At 56.9% G+C, this 21,592-nt stretch overlaps 2 protein-coding genes and 1 long non-coding RNA gene across 23 annotated transcripts in view, besides 3 other annotated features; 1 reads left to right on the top strand and 2 right to left on the bottom strand.

Annotated features, from left to right (window-relative positions):
- The window catches only part of GALNS (galactosamine (N-acetyl)-6-sulfatase), a 43,214-nt gene extending 27,686 nt beyond the window's left edge, over positions 1-15,528 (bottom strand). For 3 of the 10 annotated variants that reach the window (NM_000512.5, XM_005256301.4, XM_047433890.1), the window contains exons 1-3: positions 15,339-15,528; positions 1,287-1,410; positions 478-552 (exon numbers count right to left, since the gene is read on the bottom strand). In NM_000512.5, the coding sequence (NP_000503.1) occupies positions 478-552; positions 1,287-1,410; positions 15,339-15,458 (319 nt within the window). In that variant the 5' untranslated portion in view covers positions 15,459-15,528. Of the gene's footprint in view, positions 1-477; positions 553-1,286; positions 1,411-1,610; positions 3,712-15,338 lie in introns of those variants that run through there. The other 7 variants (NM_001323543.2, XM_017023113.2, XM_047433891.1 and 4 more) reach the window with 4 other exon arrangements.
- Positions 8,755-8,924: an enhancer, noted in NCBI's record as "experimental_46374 CRE fragment used in MPRA reporter constructs". NCBI's record gives its function as "activates a minimal promoter by MPRAs in K562 erythroleukemia cells, with activity observed for both the introgressed and non-introgressed 16:88916667 variant alleles {active_cell/tissue: K562}" and the evidence as "EXISTENCE:reporter gene assay evidence [ECO:0000049][PMID:34662402]".
- Positions 13,522-13,591: a silencer, noted in NCBI's record as "silent region_7882". NCBI's record gives its function as "represses an Ori minimal core promoter by ATAC-STARR-seq in GM12878 lymphoblastoid cells {active_cell/tissue: GM12878}" and the evidence as "EXISTENCE:reporter gene assay evidence [ECO:0000049][PMID:35858748]".
- LOC107983950 (uncharacterized) lies at positions 13,709-15,161 on the bottom strand. Its single transcript, XR_933884.3, has 2 exons — positions 15,032-15,161; positions 13,709-14,882 (listed from the first exon to the last, which is right to left on the bottom strand). It is a non-coding gene; the product is annotated as an uncharacterized LOC107983950 (long non-coding RNA).
- TRAPPC2L (trafficking protein particle complex subunit 2L) lies at positions 14,801-21,259 on the top strand. 12 transcript variants are annotated; one of them, NR_134671.2, is made up of 6 exons: positions 14,801-14,827; positions 17,200-17,370; positions 17,926-18,024; positions 18,154-18,331; positions 18,474-18,553; positions 19,492-21,259. NR_134671.2 is itself a non-coding variant. In NM_001318524.2 (5 exons), exons 1-5 carry the CDS (start codon positions 15,732-15,734, stop codon positions 19,538-19,540), a joined length of 441 nt encoding a protein of 146 aa, NP_001305453.1. In that variant the 5' UTR covers positions 15,708-15,731; the 3' UTR covers positions 19,541-21,259. The 12 variants fall into 12 exon arrangements, 10 of the variants coding, with proteins under 10 accessions (NP_001305453.1, NP_057293.1, NP_001305454.1 ...); NR_134670.2 differs by lacking the exon at positions 14,801-14,827 and adding an exon at positions 15,708-15,764 and having other exon boundaries at positions 19,495-21,259; NM_001318524.2 differs by lacking the exons at positions 14,801-14,827; positions 17,926-18,024 and adding an exon at positions 15,708-15,764 and having other exon boundaries at positions 17,200-17,372; positions 18,244-18,331; positions 19,474-21,259.
- Positions 15,261-15,660: a silencer, noted in NCBI's record as "silent region_7883". NCBI's record gives its function as "represses an Ori minimal core promoter by ATAC-STARR-seq in GM12878 lymphoblastoid cells {active_cell/tissue: GM12878}" and the evidence as "EXISTENCE:reporter gene assay evidence [ECO:0000049][PMID:35858748]".
- Positions 21,260-21,592: the final 333 nt, after the last annotated feature.

The following is a 21,592-nucleotide window of genomic DNA, read 5'->3' on the forward strand; positions in this document are numbered from 1 at the left end:
TCTCTGGAATATGCCACGTGATGCTGCACTGCCCCACCCCTGCCTCCCCCGTCCTTCCCTTTCCTCAAATGCCACTGGAAATCCCACTTCCCCTGTGAGATGCCCCTGGGGAGCCCATCCAAACCCCTCAAGCACAGCGATTCCAGAACATTCCAGAACTGCCGCTGATGCCACAGCCCCGGCCTCCCTGTGGGTGTGCGGCTCACCCGCCTGGGGAGTGGGAGCTTCTGGGGTGGGGGTGCCGGCTCAGCTCCTTAGGCCAGACTGGGCACCCTCCGCTCAGTCCCCACTGGGCCAGGGCAGGGAAGGAAGCCAGCTAGGGGGGCCTGCACTTCCACCTAAGTCCCAGAGACCCAGGCACCAGCGGTACCCCACCTGCAGCTTGCCACCCGAGTCCCGGAGACACGGGCACCACCCGTAGCCCACCTGCCCAACCCTGCACCCCAAGGGTGTCCCTGGAGGCGGTGGGCAGCCTACCGTTTCTGGCATGGGCGTTGGTGGTGTAGAAGCCATTGCGGATGGGTAGCCGTCCTGTGAGCAGTGCCGCCCTCGCTATGTGGAGGTGACAGAAACAGAAACTGGATAAGAAGGGTGTGGCTCAGACCCCGGGCGTCAACAAGAGCCCCAACGAGTAGACAGACGCGTGACAGACGAGGCACGCGCAGGTTTACAAGGGGCTGCCACGCCTGTCAATCCCCGTTAGCGTCTCCACCACCTGGGTGGGGCACGGCACCCATTCCACTGAAAGACGCGTGGCCCTTGGGCCCTGCAGCTCAGCGTTGTCCCCAAGACCCCGCCTCCTTTCGCAGGCTCCTGGGACACCCACTGGGCGTGCAGGTCCACACGCCCCCATCCTCGAGCACCAGCCCCGTGCCCTGCCTTCTCCTCTTCCTCACGATCAACACCACATGTTTCTGTCTCCAGCAGGAGAGACTCTCCCCAGGGAGGGAGGGAGTGGGACTCCTGCTTCCCAGGTACCCTGAGACGGAGCCACACTGCAGCACCTCTCCCCAGGCGGCCACAGCACTCGACTCTGGGAAACAGAACAGCAGCCACCAACAATACCGCAACTTCGACCCTGAAAACCCAGCAGGTGCCGCACCCCACATGGCACGGAGCCGGGCTGGGATTTGATGAGAAAGGCCTGAGCCCACCTGCCACCCTCCCTGCAGTAGTAGGAATAGACAAGGTTGATGCAGCCGCCCAGAGTCAGGGCTGGAAGGACCCGGGAGGCCTCGGCCTGTTGGGCTCACCCCTTCCTGGGGGCGAGGGCCCCGCTGACTTACATGGCGAGCACAGAGGGTTGGCAGAATAGAAGTTTGGGAAAAGCAGCCCTTCTGCAGCCATCCGGTCCAAATTCGGGGTCTCTCTGGAGGGCTCTCCATACACCCCGAGGTCACCCCATCCCATCTGCAGGGAAGAGCACGGGGAGGAGGAATGAGCGCCTTCTGCAGGTGCTTCTGGCCTGGGGAGCTGCCCATGGTGCCAAGAGCGTGTCGGGGACCGTGGAAGCCAGCACCACCCTGTGTCCCAGCCAGCGGCAGAGCTCGGCCAAACCCCAGCATCGCCTGCGTGCGTGCACGATGGGGCCGCTCCACGCCAGCCCAAACCTCAGCATCGCCTGCGTGCGTGCACGATGGGGCCGCTCCACGGTCAGCCCACGCTGTCTTTCGCCTCCACTTCTGCTTGGTCTTCAGGTGGGGAATGTGTCCGTCTGCCTCCTCCCAGCCTGACACCAGCATCTGCATGCTCGCAGGAGCTGGCCTCTAAACACGTGCATCTATTTTCAACATAAATACACAGGCCCTCGTATGTCTGTACACGTCTAGATTTCAAAGTCAACTGGTAACTGTCCCCCAGAAGCCCAGTTATCGTGTGACCCTGCAGTTCCACGCTGCAACTCCACTCCTAGCTGTACACCCAAGAGACTGAAACTTACGTCCACACGCAGGCCTGCATACGAGCGTCCAGGGCAGCACGACTCAGTGGCCAAAAGGCAGGAGCACCCTGAGCGCCCATCGGCAGACGACAAAGTGCGGCCGGCGTGTACTACGTGGGTGTGGCCACATTTGGAAGTAGGGTCTCTGCAGATGTAGTGAGCTAAGATGAGGTCACGCTGGGCCAGGGTGGGCCCTCAATCCTATGACTGGGCCCTTAGAGACGCAGACATGCAGTAGAGATGCCGGGTGAAGGCCGAGGCCGAGACTGGAGTGACGCAGCCACCAGCCAGGGGACAGCAAGGACCTTCCTGGAGAGCCTGAGGGGGAGGGGCCCGGCTGACACCTTGATTTTGCACTTCTGGCCTCCAGAATCCGGCAAGAATCCATTTCCGCTAAGGCCACCTGGCCTGTGGTAACGTGTTATGTCTCAGGAAACTCACGCACGTACCGCGGCACACTACCCAACCATCGAAAGGAAGGGCACCCCACACCGCGCACGGCCCTGGAAAGCTTCATGTGAGGGAAGGAAGCAGACACAAGGGCCACACAGGCTGTGATTTGCTCATTAAGCCTCCGGAACAGGCCGGTCCGCAGAGGCAGGAGGCGGCTGAGTGGCTGCCGGGGCTGGGGGTGGGTGCTGGGGAGGGCCTGCTGATGAGTACCGGTTTCTTCTTGGGATGGACTGTTTGGAAGCAGGTAGAAGGGATGGAGGCACCACGCTGTGAATGGACTGTGCCCGAGTGGTGCACGTTAAGGTGGCTGTCATGGTCAATTTTACGTTCTGTGTATTTTACAATAAAAACCCCAAGCAGGAGGACGGGTGAGCACAGGGCAGGAAGCACGGAGGCTGGGGTGATGCCAGGAGGCCGGGGTGATGCCAGGTGTGATGGCACCAGCACAGCAAATGCCCACGGCAAACTCCGGAGGTGAGTGGCAGCGGCGGTGTTCACTGAAAACTTCTTCAAATTTTACAGTGTGTATTGTTGGAAAAAAGTGCTTTTAAACAGGCAGTGGGCCAGGACTTTGCTCTAGAAGGAGAAGGGGAGGGCACCGCCTGGGGCTTTGGCTCTCCTCGGATCCTCCAGCCGTCTCCCTGAGCGCCCACCTCAGCAGGAGCCTGGTAGAAGCCAACACTCCGAGGCCCCTCTGTCTGGCCTGTCTTCCTTCCTTAAGGACATATTCCCTCCTGAGGTGCTCCAAGCACCAACCAAGACACCAGTGAAGTGACTGTGCCTGCCTGGGCCCCTGCCCTCTACAGGCCGCCTTCAGCAGCTTCGGCAGCACAAACACACAACACCTGGGAAAGACAACACATTCTAAACACAACGACCAAGTTCACAGGCCCAGCTGAATTCAACCACCACGTTCACAGGCCCAGCTGCATTCAACGCATATTTATTTCTGAAACCAATCTGAATGCAAATATGGATATTTAGAGCTGGCATCAGCAAATGCATTATGTAAAGGGCCTCACAGCAAATCCTTTCAGCTTTGTGGGCCATATGGGGCTGTCACAGCCCCTCAGCCCTGCCACAAGCCAGCATGCGAGCAGATGTGCACGCTCTGTGCCAATAAAACTTTATTCATCAACATCTGAATTTCATATAATTTTTCATGTCACAAAATATTACTCTTTTGGTTTTTTGAACAATTTAAAATTATAAAACCCATGCCTGGCTTATGGGTTTAAAAAACGGCAGGTGGTGGGCCGGGCTCGGTGGCTCACGCCTGTAATCCCAGCACCGTGGGAGGCCGAGGCGGGCGGATCACCAGGTCAGGAGATCGAGACCATCCTGGCTAACATGGTGAAACCCCGCCTCTACTAAAAATACAAAAAATTAGCCAGGCATGGTGGTGGGCACCTGTAGTCCCGGCTACTCGGAGTACAGTAGCCGGCAGGAGAATCGCTTGAACCTGGGAGGCGGAGGTTGCAGTGAGCCAAGATTGTACCACTGCACTCCAGCCTGGGCAACAGAGGGAGACTCCGTCCCAAAACCACAACAACAACAAAACCCAGCAGGTGGTTCACATTTGACCCATGGGCTGGAGTTGGCCAACCTCTGTCTTAGTGAAAGTGCAGCTACCCTATCTTAAAAGGCAATCATGGGGCTGGGTGCGGTGGCTCACGCCTGTAATCCTAGTACTTTGGGAGGCCGAGGTAGGCGGATCACAAGGTTAGGAGTTCGAGACCAGCCTGGCCAATATGATGAAACCCAGTCTCTACTAAAAACACAAGAATTAGCTGGGCATGGTGGCGGGCACCTGTACCAGCTACTTGGGAGGCTGAGGCAGGAGAATCGCTTCAACCCGGGAGGCGGAGGTTGCAGTGAGCCGAGATTGTGCCACCGCACTCCAGCCTGGGTGACAGAGCAAGACTCCGTCTCAAAAAAAAAAAAAGGGCATGAGAGGATCACTTAAAGCCAGGAGTTCGAGACCAGCCTGGACAACACAGCAAGACTCCAACTCTAAAAAAAAAAAAAAAGCCAAGTGTGGTGGTGTGTACCTGTGGTCCCAACTACTCAGGAGGCTGAGGTAGGAGGATCACTTGAGGCCAGGAGGTTGAGGCTGCCGTGAGCCATGATCACACCACAGCACTCCAGCCTGGGCAACAGGGTGAGACACTCTCACTAAACAAACAAACAAAAAAAGATCATGGCCCAGCAATTCCACTTGTAGGAGTTTATCCTAAGAAAATAATTACAGCTATGTATAACCCATTATGCCAATTTAAAATTGTGGTTGAGATACTGGGAACAGAAATTTGGTTAAATAAATCACAGTTCATCTGTGTTAATGGGTGGAGCTGTATCCCCAAAAGTTATGCTGAAATCATGGCCCCAGTGTAGCTCAGCATGTGACCTTAGTTAGAAACAGGGTTGCCGCAGATATGATTCAGTAAGATGAGGTCACTAACATGGGGGTGGACCCTCATCCCACACACTGCAGTCCTTATAGGAGACAGGGCGAAGGTGGCCGTGTGGCAATGGGGTCAGAGGCGGGAGACACACAGCCATGGGCTCCGGACGGCTGGGGGCCACCAGAAGCTGCAGGGGCAAGAGGTCCCTTGCAGGTTTCCGAGGGAGCGAGGTCCTGCCCACACCTTGAGCTCAGACTTCCGGCCTCCAGACCGAGACAGAATGCGTTTCTGGCTTTTTTTTTTTTTTTTTTTTTTTTGAGACGAAGTCTTGCTGTTGTCGCCCAGGCTGGAGGGCACAATCTCGACTCACTGCAACCTTTGCCTGCACGATCTCGGCTCACGGCAACCTTTGCCTCTCGGGTTCAAGCGATTACTCCTGCCTCAGCCTCCCAAGTAGCTGGGATTATAGGCGCCCTCCATCATGCTCAGCTAGTTTTTGTATTTTTAGTAGAGACGGGGTTTCGCCATGTTGGCCAGGCTGGTCTCGAACTCCTGACCTCCGGTGATCTGCCTGCCTTGGCCTCCCAAAGTGCTGGGATTACAGGTGTGAGCACTGTGCCCGGCCGTGTTTCTGTTCTTTTAAGCTCCCGACCCCCGTGTGTGGTCCCAGGAGGCTCCTGGGATGGGTGAGATGGGGGTGTGGCCAGGGGGTTACTGAGAAGCCCACTTAGTGTGAACAGACATTCACGACACCTGGTTGTGTGGACACCTGTGGACACACCTGGACGGCAGGGAGGGAAAACCTCTTAGTAAAGCAAGTATCTGCAGCCCAGCCATGTCTGGCAGCCAAAGCCTTCAGGAGGAACGCAAACAGCTCCACCCGCAGCTCTTAAGCACACTGGAGACCACCGATGGTTCTTTTTTTAAGTCTCTGAAATACTTTTCTCTCTCGTTGACCAGCCTGGGCAACAAGGTGAGACCCCATCTCTATAAAAAATCAAAAAATCAGCTGGGCATGGTGGCACACACCTGTAATCCCAGCTACTTGGGAGGCTGAGGCAGGAGAATCCCCTGAGCTCAGGAGGCAGAGGCTGCAGTGAGCTGAGATCGCGCCACGGCAGTCCAGCCTAGGTAACAGACAGAGAACCCTGTCTCAAAAAAATAAAAAACAAAAACCTGCCACTTTTCTCCAAATTCACCCCATCCAGCCTCCTCCTGTCACAAGTGGCTCCAGGACTCACCCACAGAGTAGGACTGCCACCTGCATGGACAGCAGGGACCTTGAGGAGGGCTGTGCCTGGAGGCCGAGTGGGGCTCACCTGCCCATCGGGCCCTTGTAAAGTTTCCACCATTTCAAATGACCCCAAGACAGGCTGCATGGGCCCTGGTGCTCCAAGAGCCGGAGAGAGGCTCACTTTGGTCTCTCCACAGTTCACCACGACAGGGACTAGAGTCTGATCGCTGATTGTCTAAGGTTGATTTTTACCAAACAAAACAAAACATTAAAAGTGAACTCACTGGAAACTGGAGCCCTCACACACCATGTAAGAACGTGACACGCAGCACCTGGTGAGAGGTCCGGCAGCGCCACGCAGGGTGGCCACGCCGCCCGGCAGCGCCTCCCTGGTACACGCCCAACAGAACTGAAAAGTGTGTCCACGTGGAAACCTGTGCATGAACCAACACCCACAGCGGCTCGCTCCCTGGCAGCCAAGCTGGAAACACCCGGATGCCCATCCATGGGTGGAAGCCTCAGCCACACGTGGTCCCTCCACACTGTGGACCATGACTCAGCCACGAAAAGGAATGGAGTCCTCACACAGGCTGTGTGTGTGAAGCCCAAAAACCCTGTGTGAGGGGAAAATAGACACAAGGCCCATGAGCCGTAAGATTCCATTCACCGGACACGTCAGAAAAGGCAGATCCTTAGAGACAGAAAGGGGAGCGGGTCGGCCAGGGGCTTCGGGGAGCACAAGGGAGTGACCCCCATCAGGGCTGGGGCTTCCTTCCGTGGTGACAAAGATGATGTGACGATGTGTGGTGGCAGGACGACTCTGAGAACACACTAAAAATGACCCGCACACTTTCACCAGCGAATTCCGTCTCAGTAAAGCGGCTATAAAAGAATGAAAGGCCGGGCGCGGTGGTTCACGCCTGTAATCCCAGCACTTTGGGAGGCCGAGGCAGGTGGATCACGAGGTGGTCAGGAGATCGAGACCATCCTTGCTAACACAGTGAAACCCCGTCTCTACCAAAAATACAAAAAATTAGCCAGGCGTGGTTGCAGGCGCCTGTGGTCCCAGCTACTCGGGAGGCTGAGGCAGGACAGCCTGGGTGACAGTGAGACTCCGTCTGAAAAAAAAAAAAAAAGGAAGTGCGGGCATCCTGGTTTTCTGCAGATGGACCAGGGGCTCCCCTGACACTGCTGGGTCGGGGCCGGTGGGCGTTTGACTCGCTGGGTCCTGGTAAGTCAAAGAAGCAGCAGCCTCGGGGCCTGTGTGAAGTGACAGGGGTCTGAACAGAGGGGAAGCCCTCACCGGGGGCGGGGGTGGCAGCGTGCTGACTGGGAACGGCTGCTGGAGGGATGGGCGCTGGGCCCCGGGGACCGCGGGAGGACAGTGGGCCGCTCTGGGCGCACGTGGGTGGCTGGACATCCAGGTCTGCGTGGTCACACCTTGGTCTTTGTCTGGATGCAATGATCCATTTCCCCGGTGGACGGCAGGCTACATGGCCCCTGCCTGTAAGGCTCAGCTTGGCAGGGTGGCCGCTCCTTGCCTCAGCCCCTCCTAACGTGTGGAGTCCCAGAGCTGGGCCAGGTCTGGGCTTTTTCCTCTCAAAGGCCCTCCATGTCTCATGGGACACAATTCTGTTTGGCCCTTTTAGCTTTGGATCCCTTTTGAGATGGTTTATTTTTTTGAGACAGGGTCTCACTCTGACAAACAGGCTGAAGTACAGTGGCGCGATCTTGGCTCACTGCAACCTCTGCCTTCCGGGCTCAGGTGATCCTCCCACCTCAGCCTCCTGAGTAGCTGGGACTACAGGCACATGCCACCATGCCCAGTTAATTATTATTATCATTATTTTTTGAGATGGAGTCTCACTCTGTCACCCAGGTTGGAGTGCAGTGGCGTGGTCTTGGCTCACTGCAACCTCCGGCTCTTGGGTTCAAGCAATTCGCCTGCCTCAGCCTCCTGAGTAGCTGGAATTATAGGCACCCACCACCAAGCTCATCTAATTTTTGTATTTTTTTTATAGAGATGGGGTTTCACCATGTTGGCCAGGCTGGTCTTGAATACTGACCTCAGGTGATCCACCTGCCTCAGCCTCCCAAAGTGCTGGGATTACAGGTGTGAACCACCGTGTCAGGCCAACTTTTTTGTATTTTTGGTAGAGATGGAGTTTTGCCACGTTGCCCAGGCTGGTCTTGAGTGAACTGAGCTCAAGCAGTCCACCCGCCTCCACCTCCCAAAGTGCTGAGATCCCAGGTGTGAGCCACCACGCCCAGCCCTGAGATGGTTTATTTTGAAGTCACTGAAATGGCTTTTCTGAGGACAATGGAGGCTGGAATGAAAGGAGGACCTAGAGAGAGGTGTCCCCTGAAGCTGATGAGGAAGAAAGGGAGGTGGGAGGACAGGGGGCAGGACGCCCGCAGAGCTGCTCATGGGCTGAGAAGGGACCTTGGGCTCAGTGGCACCTAGTCACAGTGGGCGAATGCGCCCATGTCAGGGTGAGGTGCATCCCACTGAGGCAGCAGAAACCTGCAGTGCAGGCTGGGACGGTACAGCTCCCTGAGGCCAGCCTGAGGGGGACTGGCCACACACGCCCAAAGCTCCTTGCCCTCCACCTCCCCGAGTGCAGATTCATCCTCTCAGGTGGCTTCTGCACTTCCTGCTGTCTCCAGTCCAGGTGGGAGAGTACAGAATGGCAGGTGGGCCGGGGGCACAAGGCCTGGGATGGGAGGGAGCAGTATGTTTCGCCCGTTACACTGTCTGCCCATGCCCAGGACCACTGCTGGGCTCCCTTCGGGCTGGGAGTGAGGCCGCACATCTGAATACTGGGTGCCATGTGCCCGACCCTCCCTGCAGGCTGCGTCCTGAGGCTTCCCGAGGCGGGTCTGGCCTCCCCAGAAGGTCGGCAGTCAGCAGAGCTGCGTCCGGATCTGCTTGTGCTCACCTGGGTCATCCTCCTACCTGTTCCAGGCCACAAATAACATGAATGGATGCAGCGGAAAATGCTGTAAAGGGAGTGGGCTCCACGCTCATCACTCACCAGAAAATACTGCGGGGAGGAGTCCCAGGGCTTGAGGGAGGGGGCTCCACGCTCACCACTGACTCAGAAGATACCGCAAGGGAGCACTCTCGCTGGGAGGAGTCCCAGGTCTTGGCGACAGTCCTACTCACTGCCATGACTTACAACGGGGAGGGCATCAGCCAGGGGAGAAGGTGCGGGCGGGGCCGGGGAGACCAGCCGCAGCGTGGAACCCTCCCCAGGCGGAGCCACACGGGACGCTCGGGCTGCGAGCACAGGTGCGGGATGCTGACGGGGAAGCTGTGCGAGACTCAGTTCCCAGGGCTTTTGCCTAGGCTGGCAGTGCGGCCGCCTCTGCCTGGCATGTGCCGAGACTCTTTATGCCCAGAAGGAGGATGCTGGGCATAAATCGTGGCATGTGCAAAAACAGTGTGGCAAGGTGAGCTGCTCCTATCAGCGAACAGCGGGGGGACCTCCTGTTCCCAGACGCCAGCCGAGGGCAAAAACCTCCCACACATGTGCCTTCTGACCAGCCGAGGGCAACGTCCCACACGTGGGCCTTCTGAGGACAGCGTCCCAGGCTGCTGGGCCAGCTCTCATCTGCTGACCCTGTTCTTTCATTATTTATCGGCGCCTTTCTTGGCTATGAAAAGCAGGTGTGGACAGCCTCCCTGCAGAGTGAGCAGGTTACCATTGAACATCTAAAACCCCCACAGGGCACCACGGGCAGGAACCACCTTTCTTCTCTCCCTTAAAAGTCCTAAAAGGGCTGGATCCAGTGGTTCACGTCTGTTATCCCAACACTTTGGGAGGCTGAGGAGGGAGGATCGCTTGAGCTCAGGAAGTCAAGACCAACCTGGGTCTCACAGACAGACACTGTCACTAAAAAAAACTTTTTTTTTAATTAGCCGGGTGTGGGGATTCCGTTCCAACATGGCTGAATAGGAACAGCTCCGGGCTGCAGCTCCCAGCGTGATTGACGCAGAAGACGGCGATTTCTGCATTTCCAACTGAGGTGCCTGGTTCATCCTACTGGGACTGGTTGGACAGTGAGTGCAGCCCATGGAGGGTGAGCCGAAGCAGGGTGGGGCATCGCCTCACTCAGGAAGTGCGAGGGGTTGGGGGATTTCCCTTTCCTAGCCAAGGGAAGCCGTGACAGACTGCACCTGGAAAATCAGGACACTCCCGCCCAAATAGTGCGCTTTTCCAACGGTCTTAGCTAACGACACACCAGGAGATTATATCCCGGGCCTGGCTCGGAGGGTCTCATGCCCACGGAGCCTTGCTCACTGCTAGCACAGCAGTCTGAGATCCACCTGCGAGGTGGCAGCCTGCCTGGGGAGGGGCGTCCGCCATTGCTGAGGCTTGAGTAGGTAAACAAAGCGGCAGGGAAGCTCGAACCGGGCAGAGCCCACCGCAGCTCTGCAAAGCCTGCTGCCTCTGTAGACCCCACCTCTAGGAGCAGGGAATAGCTGAACAAAAGGCAGCAGAAACTTCGGCAGACTTAAACGTCCCCGTCTGACAGCTCTGAAGAGAGCAGTGGTTCTCCCGGCACAGTGTTTGAGCTCTGAGAACGGACACATTGCCTCCTCAAGTGGGTCCCTGACCCCCGTGTAGCCTAACTGGGAGATACTTCCCAGTAGGGGCCCACTGACACCTCATACAGGCAGGTGCCCCTCTGGGACAAAGCTTCCAGAAGAAGGATCAGGCAGCAATATTTACTATTCTGCAATAGTTGCTGTTCTGCAGCCTCCACTGGTGATACCCAGGCAAACAGGGTCTGGAGTGGACCTTCAGCAAACTCCAACAGACCTGCAGCTGAGGGACCTGACTCTTATAAGGAAAATTAACAAACAGAAAGGAATAGCATCAACATCAACAAAAAGGACATCTACGCCAAAACCCCATCTTTAGGCCACCAGCATCAAAGACCAAAGGCAGATAAAACCACAAAGATGGGGAGAAACCAGAGCAGAAAAGCTGAAAATTCTAAAAACCAGAGCACCTCTTCTCCTCCAAAGGATCGCAGCTCCTCGCCAGCAAGGGAACAAAGCTGGACAGAGAATGACTCTGACGAGCTGACAGAAGTAGGCTTCAGAAAGTCGGTAATAACCAACTTCTCCGAACTAGAGGAAGATGTTTGAATCCATGGTAAGGAAGCTAAAAACCTTGAAAAAAGATGAGACGAATGGCTAACTAGAATCAACAGTGTAGAGAAGACCTTAGATGACCTGATGGAGCTGAAAACCATGGCACCAGAACTACGTGACGCATGCACAAGCTTCAGTAGCCGATTCGATCTAGTGGAAGAAAGGGTATCAGTGATTGAAGATCAAATTAATTAGCCGAGTGTGGTGATGGGCGGCTATAATCCCAGCTACTCAGGAGGCTGAGGCAGGAAAATTGCTTGAGCCCAGTAGTTTGAGGCTGCAGTGAGCTGTGATCGAGCTACTGCACTCCAGCCTGGGTGACAGAGCCAGACCTTGTCTCAAAAAAAAAGTCCTGGCTGGGTGTGGTGGCTCATGCCTGTAATCCCAGCACTTTGGGAGGCTGAGGCAGGCAGATCACCTGAGGTCAGGAGTTTCAGGCCAGACTGGCCAATATGGTGAAACCCCGTCTCCACTAGAAATACAAAAATTAGCTGGGCACGGTGGTGGGAGCCTGTAGTCCCAGCTACTCGGGAGGCTGAGGCAGGAGAATTGCTTGAACCTGGGAGACGGAGGTTGCAGTGAGCTGAGATCACACCACTGCAATCCAGCCTGGGTGACCAGAGTGAGACTCCATCTCAAAAAAAAAAAAAAAAAAAAAAAAGGCCTAAAAGCCCCCAAATGATTGTCCACGTTCAGCGAGCACAGCTGTGAGCCATGGATCAGTATCCTTCAGAATTTCAGAGTTTTAAGAAACGCAGTTTCCATTCCTACTGGTTGCTATGGGATTATTATGAAGACGAGCAGGCCAGTGCTTGTCTGTTTCAAACGAGGGGCACTGAGCAACCCTCCCCGGACTCTGGTGGCTCGACGAGGCTGCTGTGGCAACAGGAGCTGGCCTGGGTGGCCCTGACTCTCCACTTCCTCTGTGGTCAGGGCTGACCCTCCTTAACCCTATTTTCCAAATAAGGAGTGGAGACACAGAGTGCTGCTCGCCCTGGGAGGCAGGAGCTGTGTGTGGGCCAGAGTGGAACTTGTCACTGGGTCTCACCTGTCTCCAAGGCCCCAGAAGCCCTGGAGAGCAGAGTGGGCCACGCAGGTTTCCTCACTCACGCAGCAGGTGCCCAGGGTACTACGAAGCCAGGCCGCGCTGGACCGTGGGTCAGTGAAAGGCCAGGGCAGGGCAGCCCTGGGGAGTGCAGGTAGACCCGTCCTTGCCCGGCTCAGCTCCCCCTGGACAGGTGGGGGCTCTTGCCAGCTGCTCTCACCCCTGAGTCCCAGCTTCCCCTTCTGGTCCCGACTCTGGGGGCAATGGTTCTCTCCCGGGTCAGTGTGACCAGTTGGAGAGTGGCTTCTGGCCATGAGGGGTGCAATAAGCTAGTTTTGGGGACAACCCTTTTCTGAAACTGCACTTGCTTAGACGAAAGGGGGGCCCAGGCCCCCCACTGCCCAGCCACAGAGGACTGGATAGGGGGAGACTGGGCTGGAGGCAGCCGGTCCCTGGAGGGCCATGCTCCAAAATCTGAACTTGAGACATGCACACTCGTCCTCAAGTGGTGCTGGGCCCAGAGCTGTGGGTCATCAAGCCATCCCATGTCATGCCAGAGGCCGAATGACCTGTTGCAGGTTCAGACGCCAGCGCCCTGGCAGAAACAACCGGTCTGCAGTGCAGGAAGAGGTGTGGACAGGGCTGCGGAGGAAGCCCCGGACTCCAAGGAGAGAAGACAGCCTGTGAGGACCCCCTTGCACCCTGGGCCACGTCAGGGCACCTCGGGGCTCCACTGTGAGCTTCTGTGGCTCTCACCTGCCAGCATCCCTGCCCTGTCCTGGCAGCTGCACCATGGGCCCTTCAGGGAACCCCCTCTCTGCTGGGTCCAGGCAGATGAGATGATCAGGGGCAGTCTCCCTTCTGGGGTAGGCCCGAGGCTCCGAGGCCTGGGCTGGACAGGTCAGCATGTGCCCCTCCCCCAGTGTGCTTGGCGCAGGGCTGAGACCCACATCACGCTAACATGACACGGGCAGAGCCAACCTCCCACTGGGTCTGCTGACTGCAGGGGTGACTTGGAGTCACCTAGGACCATCACAGGCTGAGTGAGGATGTGGCCAGTTCAGAGGCAGCAGAGCCACGAAAGGGGAAACTCGCCAGGCGGCCCTGGTCTGTCGACTCAGGAGGGCCAGGGAATCCCCACTGTTGCTTGTCACTTTGACTTCATCTTCTGCTGTCTGCATCAGAAAGTCCTTACAAGTACACCTACCGGCCAGGACACAGCTCCTCTGGGGTTCTTTAGGCGTCAGCTGCCAAACGACCCCACAAGCCACACAGTGGAGGCCACAGAACAGGTGCCCAGGTGGGCGGGGCTTCCTGTCACCCTCCCCCACATGTGCCCCGGTGGCCACACCCCACCCCTCCACCCTGCACGGCCTGAACCCTTGCTGTCCTATGGAAACGTAGGGTGAGTCCACATGCAATTCCCTATTTACCGGGAGCCACATTAGAAAAGCAGAAGTAGGTGAAATACAGACTAACTTTATATTTTATTTAACCCAACATAACCAAAATATTATTTCGACAAGTCTTCAACATAAAAAATTATTCATGAGCTGCCCCGCCTCACCCCTCTGTCCTCTGAGAAAGTCAGGAAAAGCAGAAACTTAACAGGGAGGCTTCACCTGCAGAGCCCAGCTCATCCAGCGAAGCTATGCTGGCCCAGAAGGAGTTACACAATGAAAAGAAGAAATTCTGAAACAAAGTATCTACACTGGCCCAGAGGAACTTCAAAAGTGAAAGGATGAAATTCTGAAGCAAAGTATCTTTAGGAGGGAGATGCCACTCAGTGCAGAGAAAGGCCCGGCTACTGCTGTCAGGACACGGACCCCTGGGCGCTGGAGAGCGTGCTCTGGAAAGCAGTCACTGCACACAAATAAGACATATGAGATGGAAAAGCAGCTGCCCAGGACTGTCGGCTGTCACCCCTGGGTGGGGAAATTATGGGTGGTGTCTGTTATCTTTTCAAGTATATCTTTATGTTAAAAAACCATTAATTTAATAAAATTGTTAAGTGAGATATTTTACATTATTTTTCTTTCACCAAGTCTTCTAAATCTGTGTATTTTACACTACCAGCACCTTCCAATTCCGACAGCCACGACTGCCCAGCCCTTGGGTGTGGCCCGTGGCCCCCACTGGTCAGCACAGGTGGGTCTGAAGGCACCTGTCAGGGTCTCTGCTGGTCGGAGCCAGCACACAGGGGCTGAGCGACACCGACGGCCCAAAACTGTCTGGTACTCGGTGTCGTCCCAGTCCTCACACACAACGTGAGCACGGCGGGACAGGTGTAACCCCCCAGGTGTGGCAGCTGAGGTTCAAGAATGGAAGTGACCCCCAAGCTTGGAGACAGTAGGGTTTCAACCCAGGTGTGTCTGGGGTCCTGCACGGTGACCCATGCCCCAGGCAGGCTCATTCCTGAGTCTCCAGGTGGCTCCCACAAGGAGTTAGGGAAGGAGGCCTCCAGGCTGGCTGTGACCCCTGACCCCGCACTTGCCCACCAGGAGACATTCCAGCCTTTCAGTTCTTCAGACCTTAGGGACACCTGACCTTCGCTCAGCATTCTCCAGAGGACAGAGACAGCCGTCAGGTAAGACTGGAGCCCAGCGGGGGGACCCGGCGGCCCGAGGTGGCGGGAGTGATTCCTAGGGCGACGCAGCTCTCAGGCAGGGCGGCAGGAGCAGCCTCTTCCTCCCTTTGGGGAGGCCACGCTGCGCGCCCACCTTTCCCAAGAGTAGAGGGCGGGAAAGGTCAGACGGGGGAGGCAGGGCCCGGTAGCACGCCGGCCACCCACCTGCCAGGGAGGACGCTGTCCCGGTCATGCAGCACAGTGGCAGCGCGTGTGGTGATCGGTGACCGCCGAGACCCCACGCCTGGACCCCGCGGCCACTCCCCGAGGGGCCTCCCCCTCCCCGCACGGGGATACCCCCCGTCCCCTCCCCCTCCTCCTCCCCGCGCGGGGCCTCCCCCCTTCCCCAAGGGGCCTCCCCTCACCTCTCCCCCCACCCCGCCCGCCCTTCCCCCACCTCGCTCCTCCCTCCATCCGCCCCTCCCCTCCCCGCCCCACCCCGGCCCTGCCCCGTCCCACCGCCCGCACTCACGTCGTCCATGAGCAGGAGCAGGATGTTGGGGGGCTGCGGGGCGCCCGAGGCCCCCATCCCCGCGGCGCTGAGCACCAGCAACAGCTGCCACCACCTCGTCGCCGCGACAACCGCCGCCATGGCAACCACGGGAGCCGCGGAGCCCCGGCCAGCGAGCCGACCTAGCGAGCGTCCGCCGGCCCTTCCGGCTGGGCTGCGGGGCGGGGCCTGGACGGCCACGTGACTCGCGGGGCGGGGCCAGAGTCCGCGGAGGGACGGGAGGCGGGGCCTGGACTGCCTCGTGACCAGTGGGGCGGGGCCTGAGCCAGCTGTGTGCGGATGGGGCGGGGCTTTGGAGGCCGCGTGACCAGCGGCGGGTCACGTGACGCGGTGCCTGGCGCCGAGCCTCCCAAGATGGCGGTGTGCATCGCGGTGATTGCCAAGGAGGTGCGTACGCGCGGCGTGGGGCGTCCGGGCTCGCACCATCCTCGGCTCTCCGCTTTCTTTCTACTTCTTCCCTGGGCTTAGAAGGCACCTTAGGAAATGGGACCTGGAGGAGGCCTTCGCCGAGCTCCAGCGGTCAGGGGCTTCGCGGTGGACGAGCCGCCAGGCAGACCCTGACTGAGACCCCAGTTCCGCGCTCGCCCGTCCCGCTGCTGAACGCACCCCTCGGCGCAGCAGGTCTCCTCCCCGCCAGGACCCACCAGAAACCTAGGTGGTCCCGGGCACTACCTCCGTCCTCCGTCCTCAGCAGGTTCTGCCCGTTCTCCCGTCCAGCGCTGGTTCCCCGCGGACGGCGGCCCCGGCCCTCCTGCCAGTCTCCCCGGAGCCGAGTTAAAAACAAATCGGATCCTGTCACGCCTCTGCCTGAGACCTCTGCAGTGGCTTCTCGTTGCCTTAGGATGCTGTCTGAATAACCTGCTCTGGGATCCTTTCCCCCCATAACCCTTGGCACTCTCCGCTCCAACCAAACAATTCTGCAGCTCCCTGGACATGCTCTGCCCTCTCACCTGTGGGCCTTTGCACGCGGAACACCTCTCCCCAGCTCCCATCCTCTTTACTGGCCCACATACATTTCAACTGGAAAGCATTTTCTGAAGGCTAAGACTGAGCTGGGTGGCTGCCCACACGCTCCTGCTGCACGGAGCCTTCATTTCCTAGCCAGGGTCTCCCGAGACCAGACTCGAGACCGCTCCCTGCTGGGCGGTGGCTGCTGCTAAGCTGCTCATGGGCTTCCCTCTTGGCCAAGATGATCATTTGCTTGTTTGTGGGTTTATTGACTAGGTATCACTCCCCACGAGGGTAGCGAGGACTCTTGTTCACTGTATTTGTGCAGGACCCAGTGCTGAACACACACAGGGTAAATGGTGGTGTGTGAAAGACCGAGAAAGAAGCTGTTAATTCTGGGCTTCCAATGGTCAGAAATGCAGAGATGAAGGGAATTTGAGCTGAGTCTTGAAGGGTTTAGTAAAAGGGTCACTGTCAAGGTGAAGAAAAGCCAGTATTGAGGGTGCTGTATTTGGGTGAGCCATGCAGAGTTAGAGGTGGGCTGAGGCAGAGTGGCCTCCAGGAGAAGGTGAGAGGCGTGCCCAGGTGCCAGGCTTGATCGGCAGGCTGTGCTCAGGCCCATTTTTCTGATTCATTTTTTCTTTTCCGCCCACCCTACTGCTGCTGCTTTGCAAACAACACATAAATCTCCTTAGGTTAGCTGGGATCCCCTGAAGGCAGTGCCCACTGCGGCATAGAGAATGAAGCGGTGGGCCTTAGAGCATGGGAATGCGTTCCCCGGGTGGCTGCAGGTCACGGCTCTGCAGCATAGTTCAGAGCTGGTGTGCGCTGGGTGGAGTCTTGTCCTTTCAGTCGCCGTCATCCTTTCTTGCAGAATTACCCCCTCTACATTCGCAGCACCCCTACGGAGAACGAGCTGAAGTTCCACTACATGGTGCACACATCTCTGGACGTGGTGGATGAGAAGATCTCCGCAATGGGGAAGGCCCTGGTCGACCAGAGGGAGCTGTACCTGGGCCTGCTCTACCCCACGGAGGACTACAAGGTGTATCTTTCAGGGCAGGGTGTGTGTCAGGGAGGACCTACAGTTGCAAGATGTACTTTAGGATCAGATAACTTGAAACCTTTTAGAAGAAAAAGAGGTGAGAGTTTTTAGCCAGCCAGGGAATTAGGGTAGCTTGAGGTGAATGAAGGCCTGTAACTCTTCTCTTTCATTGGAAGAGCCATTTGGGAAAAGCAAGGCTAGAATTCCCCGTAGAATGTTTTGGTTTGCACGTGTCCGTTGTCTGGTTTGCAGAGGAAGTGGGACACTTCTGCTTTGTACCTGCAAGGATTTCTTTCTGTGCTTTTCAGGGGGAGCCACCACCTTTGAGCAGGGGATAATAGTTTCATTTATTTCATTAGGCCTTGCCTCTTATGTCACTAGACACTCGTCTAGTCCCTTGGGACAAATCACTTGAGGCCATGGAATTCAAAGACCTTCCCAAAAGTCATCATGTAGCCTGTCCATGGTGACATTTGCTAGTAGCCACTATTTTACAAAATAATGTGGCCTCTAGAGAGGGGATCCGCCTTGTTCACGAAGCCTCTGGTTTTGCAGTTAACTTTCCGGGCCAGGCATTGATTCATGAAGAGGGTGAGGTGTTCCAGACAGACAGACTCGGAGTCTAGGTGGTTCGGCTCCTGGAGTGTGAACTGGGTAAGGCTTGGCTGCCTGCTCTTCGCTTCTCCTGCAAACACCAGACGTCGCCCTAGCAAAGTATTTAGGCTTGTACCCAGCACGGCCACTGCAGGACCAGCCCAGCATGGGCATTTCCTGTGATTCAAGGTTGCCACATTTCTCCAAAGTGAGGGCCCACAGAGGGCCCTCCACCGGCAGTCCCTGTGTTACGAGTGCCTTCCCTAACCAGCTGTGCAGATACGGCTACGTCACCAACTCCAAGGTGAAGTTTGTCATGGTGGTAGATTCCTCCAACACAGCCCTTCGAGACAACGAAATTCGCAGCGTAAGTCAGGGAGTTAGAGGGCCACGCCCGAGTGGGTGTTTTGTTTTTCCTTTTTGACTTTGTTTTGAAATGCTGAGAAACTAAAAATCTGGCAGTGGCTGTGTGTATGTGGCAAGGTCATGGTTTGCTGGGTCTTTTTCAGATGTTCCGGAAGCTACACAACTCCTACACAGACGTGATGTGCAACCCCTTCTACAACCCGGGGGACCGCATCCAGTCCAGGTGGGCCCTACTTTCTGTGTCTTGCCACCTTCTTTCTGTAGGACATGCCTTGCCATTTTGGTTGCCAAAATGCAACCATTTGGAAAATAAGGGAGGAAAGATCTTTTTAAGCTATGAGCACCATCCCCCTAGGGCAGAGGTTTTAAAGCCACAAAGCCCCGTTTCTCCACACCAACTCTTACACAGATCTCCAGCGCATAAAGTGGATAGAGTGTGTGTGGTGTGGGGAGTAGAGCTTGCCCATTTGGCTTCCCAGGTGTGCCCAGTGGGTACCTGGGGCACCTGCAGGACTCAGGGCCAAGCACATGGGCAGTGGCTTTCAGGGATCACACGTCCTTTTGTAGCTACCTGATCTTTTATGTTGAATTTGGAACAGTCAGGAACCTGGTTTGCAGGTGTCTTCCGAATAGTCCACAAAGTAAACAGATTTAACTTTTGAACATCATGAGGGAAATGTGGGGTCCATGCCCACATTCCAGACTTGCTTTCAGTGAGTCCCCAGTTCCAAGACATAATTCCCTGTGGTTGGCAGGGAAGAGGACGCTGCAGTGATCCAAGGCAGGCCCCTCCCTCCACCAGGACACTGTCTTGGGGCCATCCTGGTCCCAGATGGGAGCAGGCAGGCGAATGTCCACAGTCTTGCCTCCTGGGCTGCACAGGGCCATCCTTGCCACACCACCGCTCTGCCTGCCCATGCTGCTCCCTCCTCCACCCCTTCCTGGGGCCTTGGGAGGCTGCACAGGGAACTTGGAGGCAGCAGATGGGTTCTCAGTGCCCGGTGGGGTGGGACTCCTGTCCTGGCCTCTCAGCGGAGTTCACATTTCTGGACCCTGGAGAAGGTCCCGAGCATCCTGTGGATGGAGCCATGCTGCCCGGCCCGTCTCTGAGCAGAGGGGTGGAGGGCCTGGCTCTCCTCTGAGTGGGTCTGTTTCTCTTAGCAGGGCCTTTGATAACATGGTGACGTCGATGATGATACAGGTGTGCTGAGTGAGCTGTGCTGCCAGCCATCGCAGAGGAGCCCGCGCACGACTGTGGTGGGGCCGTCGGTCTGTTCTGGTTGCCTCTTCCTGAATGGGACGCCTGGGGCTTTCAGGGCAGGCAGCTGTGCATGTTCTCTCAACTAAAGGTCTTGTGAGAGGAGATTTGGCTTTTTCCTTCCGTGTCAGCCAAGGATTTAATTAAGAAGAATTCAACTAAGGACTTTTCTGGGGTGTGGGCAGAGGTTTGGGATCAGATGGCGCAGGTAGCCTGTCCTCAGTTGTCCCAAAGGGGCAGAGGCAGGGGTGCCTGGAGCCAAGAGTTCCTGAGCCTGCAGGACCTGTGACCATGTGGGTCACCCACTGGCTGAACAGGTGGGCTGGTCTGGAGGGGGTGGCCTCCTGAGCCCAGAACCAGCCTAGGATCTAGGGGCACAAGGGGAGCCGGCGTGGCTTCCCACAGGGGAGGGCCCTCCTCTTTCTGGACTTGGCCTCCATTCTTTGCATCTGGCTCAATGTCTGGATTCCGCCCGGCCTTAAAAGGAGCCCTTGTGAAACCTGGGAAGCCTCGTGGCCCCGCGGCGTTGGCTCAGCTGCAGCCCTGGTCCTAAACCTTGGAGCGCAGACTTGAGGCACCCCCTCCTGCCTGTTGGTGCTGAGGGGGTTGGGTGCTGTGTCACTTGATGACGTGGCTGACTACCACCCAGGGCAGCGGCCGAGCCCATAGTGGCGTCAGTGCCGCCGGCGTCCTTGGGGTCCAGCGGTCAAGGCTCAGCCCGCTGAGGGGACCCCCCCGGAGTTGGTTCCAGCACTGGTCCAGGACTGGAGAGTTTCTCAAGGACCTTGAGGACCCCAGAAGCCCTTGCAGCAGGAAAGGCTGTAAGGGGGGGTCAGCCTAGGGCAGGACCTAGGGAGGGGAACTTTCTTGATACATATTTGCCTTTTCATCCCATCTAGCAAGCACAGTGTTAATTTTAGAAATTATAGAAGAAAAAATCAGCAAGGAGTGTGGGAAAACTGCATGCCCCAGGCCTCCCCCGCCCCAGGGTGAATTGGAAGCCCTGGAATGGGCCGAGGCACACCAGGCAGCTGATCTGGGTGCATGTGGGCCACAGACCACTCTCACAAGGTTAAATCTTTAACAAGAGCCTCATGTTTGTTAGGAGAAGGTGGGACCCCAGCCCAAGCACTTCCCCATTGCAGCCTGGCATGAAATCTTTGCCTTTTAGTGGGGATCACTCCTGCCCGAGTCCTGGCTGTGGTGGGGACTCTGCAAGTTGCTAACCCAGCGTCCATTCTCTTTCCTCCGTACTAACAGAACCCCGGTGCCTCTGCCCAGTTCCAATAGCGGGCAGACGAGAGCCATGTCCTGGGCTCCCTTGCAGCCCGGGGTGTGCAGCTGTGGCGTGGAGGTGGGTGGTGCTGGGAGAGACTTGCAGGGAAGCTCCTGTGAAGGGGACTCAGCTGCCACATGCAGGACCCTTCCCCTTTGCCTTCTTCCTGCCTGGAACATGGATGTGATGGCTGGTGCTGGGACAGCTGTCCTGAGAGCGTGAGGAAAGGGTCACACCCTAAGGACAGTGGAGCAGAACACAGGAAGGACCCTGGGCCTTTGCTGACGCAGAACGCGGGAAGGACCCTGGGCCTTTGCTGACATACCAGCCCCAGACTACTTAAATTCAGCTTTTTTTTTAATGTGAGAAAATAAATGCACCCCTCTCTGGTTTAAGCCACTGATTTTTGGGTTTTCTGTTAGGTGCAGCCAGACCCACCTGTAAGTACTTTTTACATGAGGGCGTTTTCACAAGCCTTGTTAGGCAGCATCCCCATTTTAAGCCCAAGGAAACAGTGCCTGATGAGGCGCTGTTAGTCGTGGAATGCTGGAGTCAGGTGTGTGCACATAAGCAGCCTTGGGCTTCTGCGGCCGTGCATGCAGCCAGGGAGCCCGACTGGCTGTGCTTTCAGAGGGGACAGTCGTCAAAGTGCCCAGGACAGAGACCTCCACTTCTGCTTCCTGAGCTTCTGACAAGGGCCAGCGTCCCGGGTGTCTGTGTCACTTGGT

This window comes from Homo sapiens, chromosome 16 (genome assembly GCF_000001405.40).
Source record: "Homo sapiens chromosome 16, GRCh38.p14 Primary Assembly".
Taxonomy (NCBI): Eukaryota; Metazoa; Chordata; class Mammalia; order Primates; family Hominidae; genus Homo; species Homo sapiens.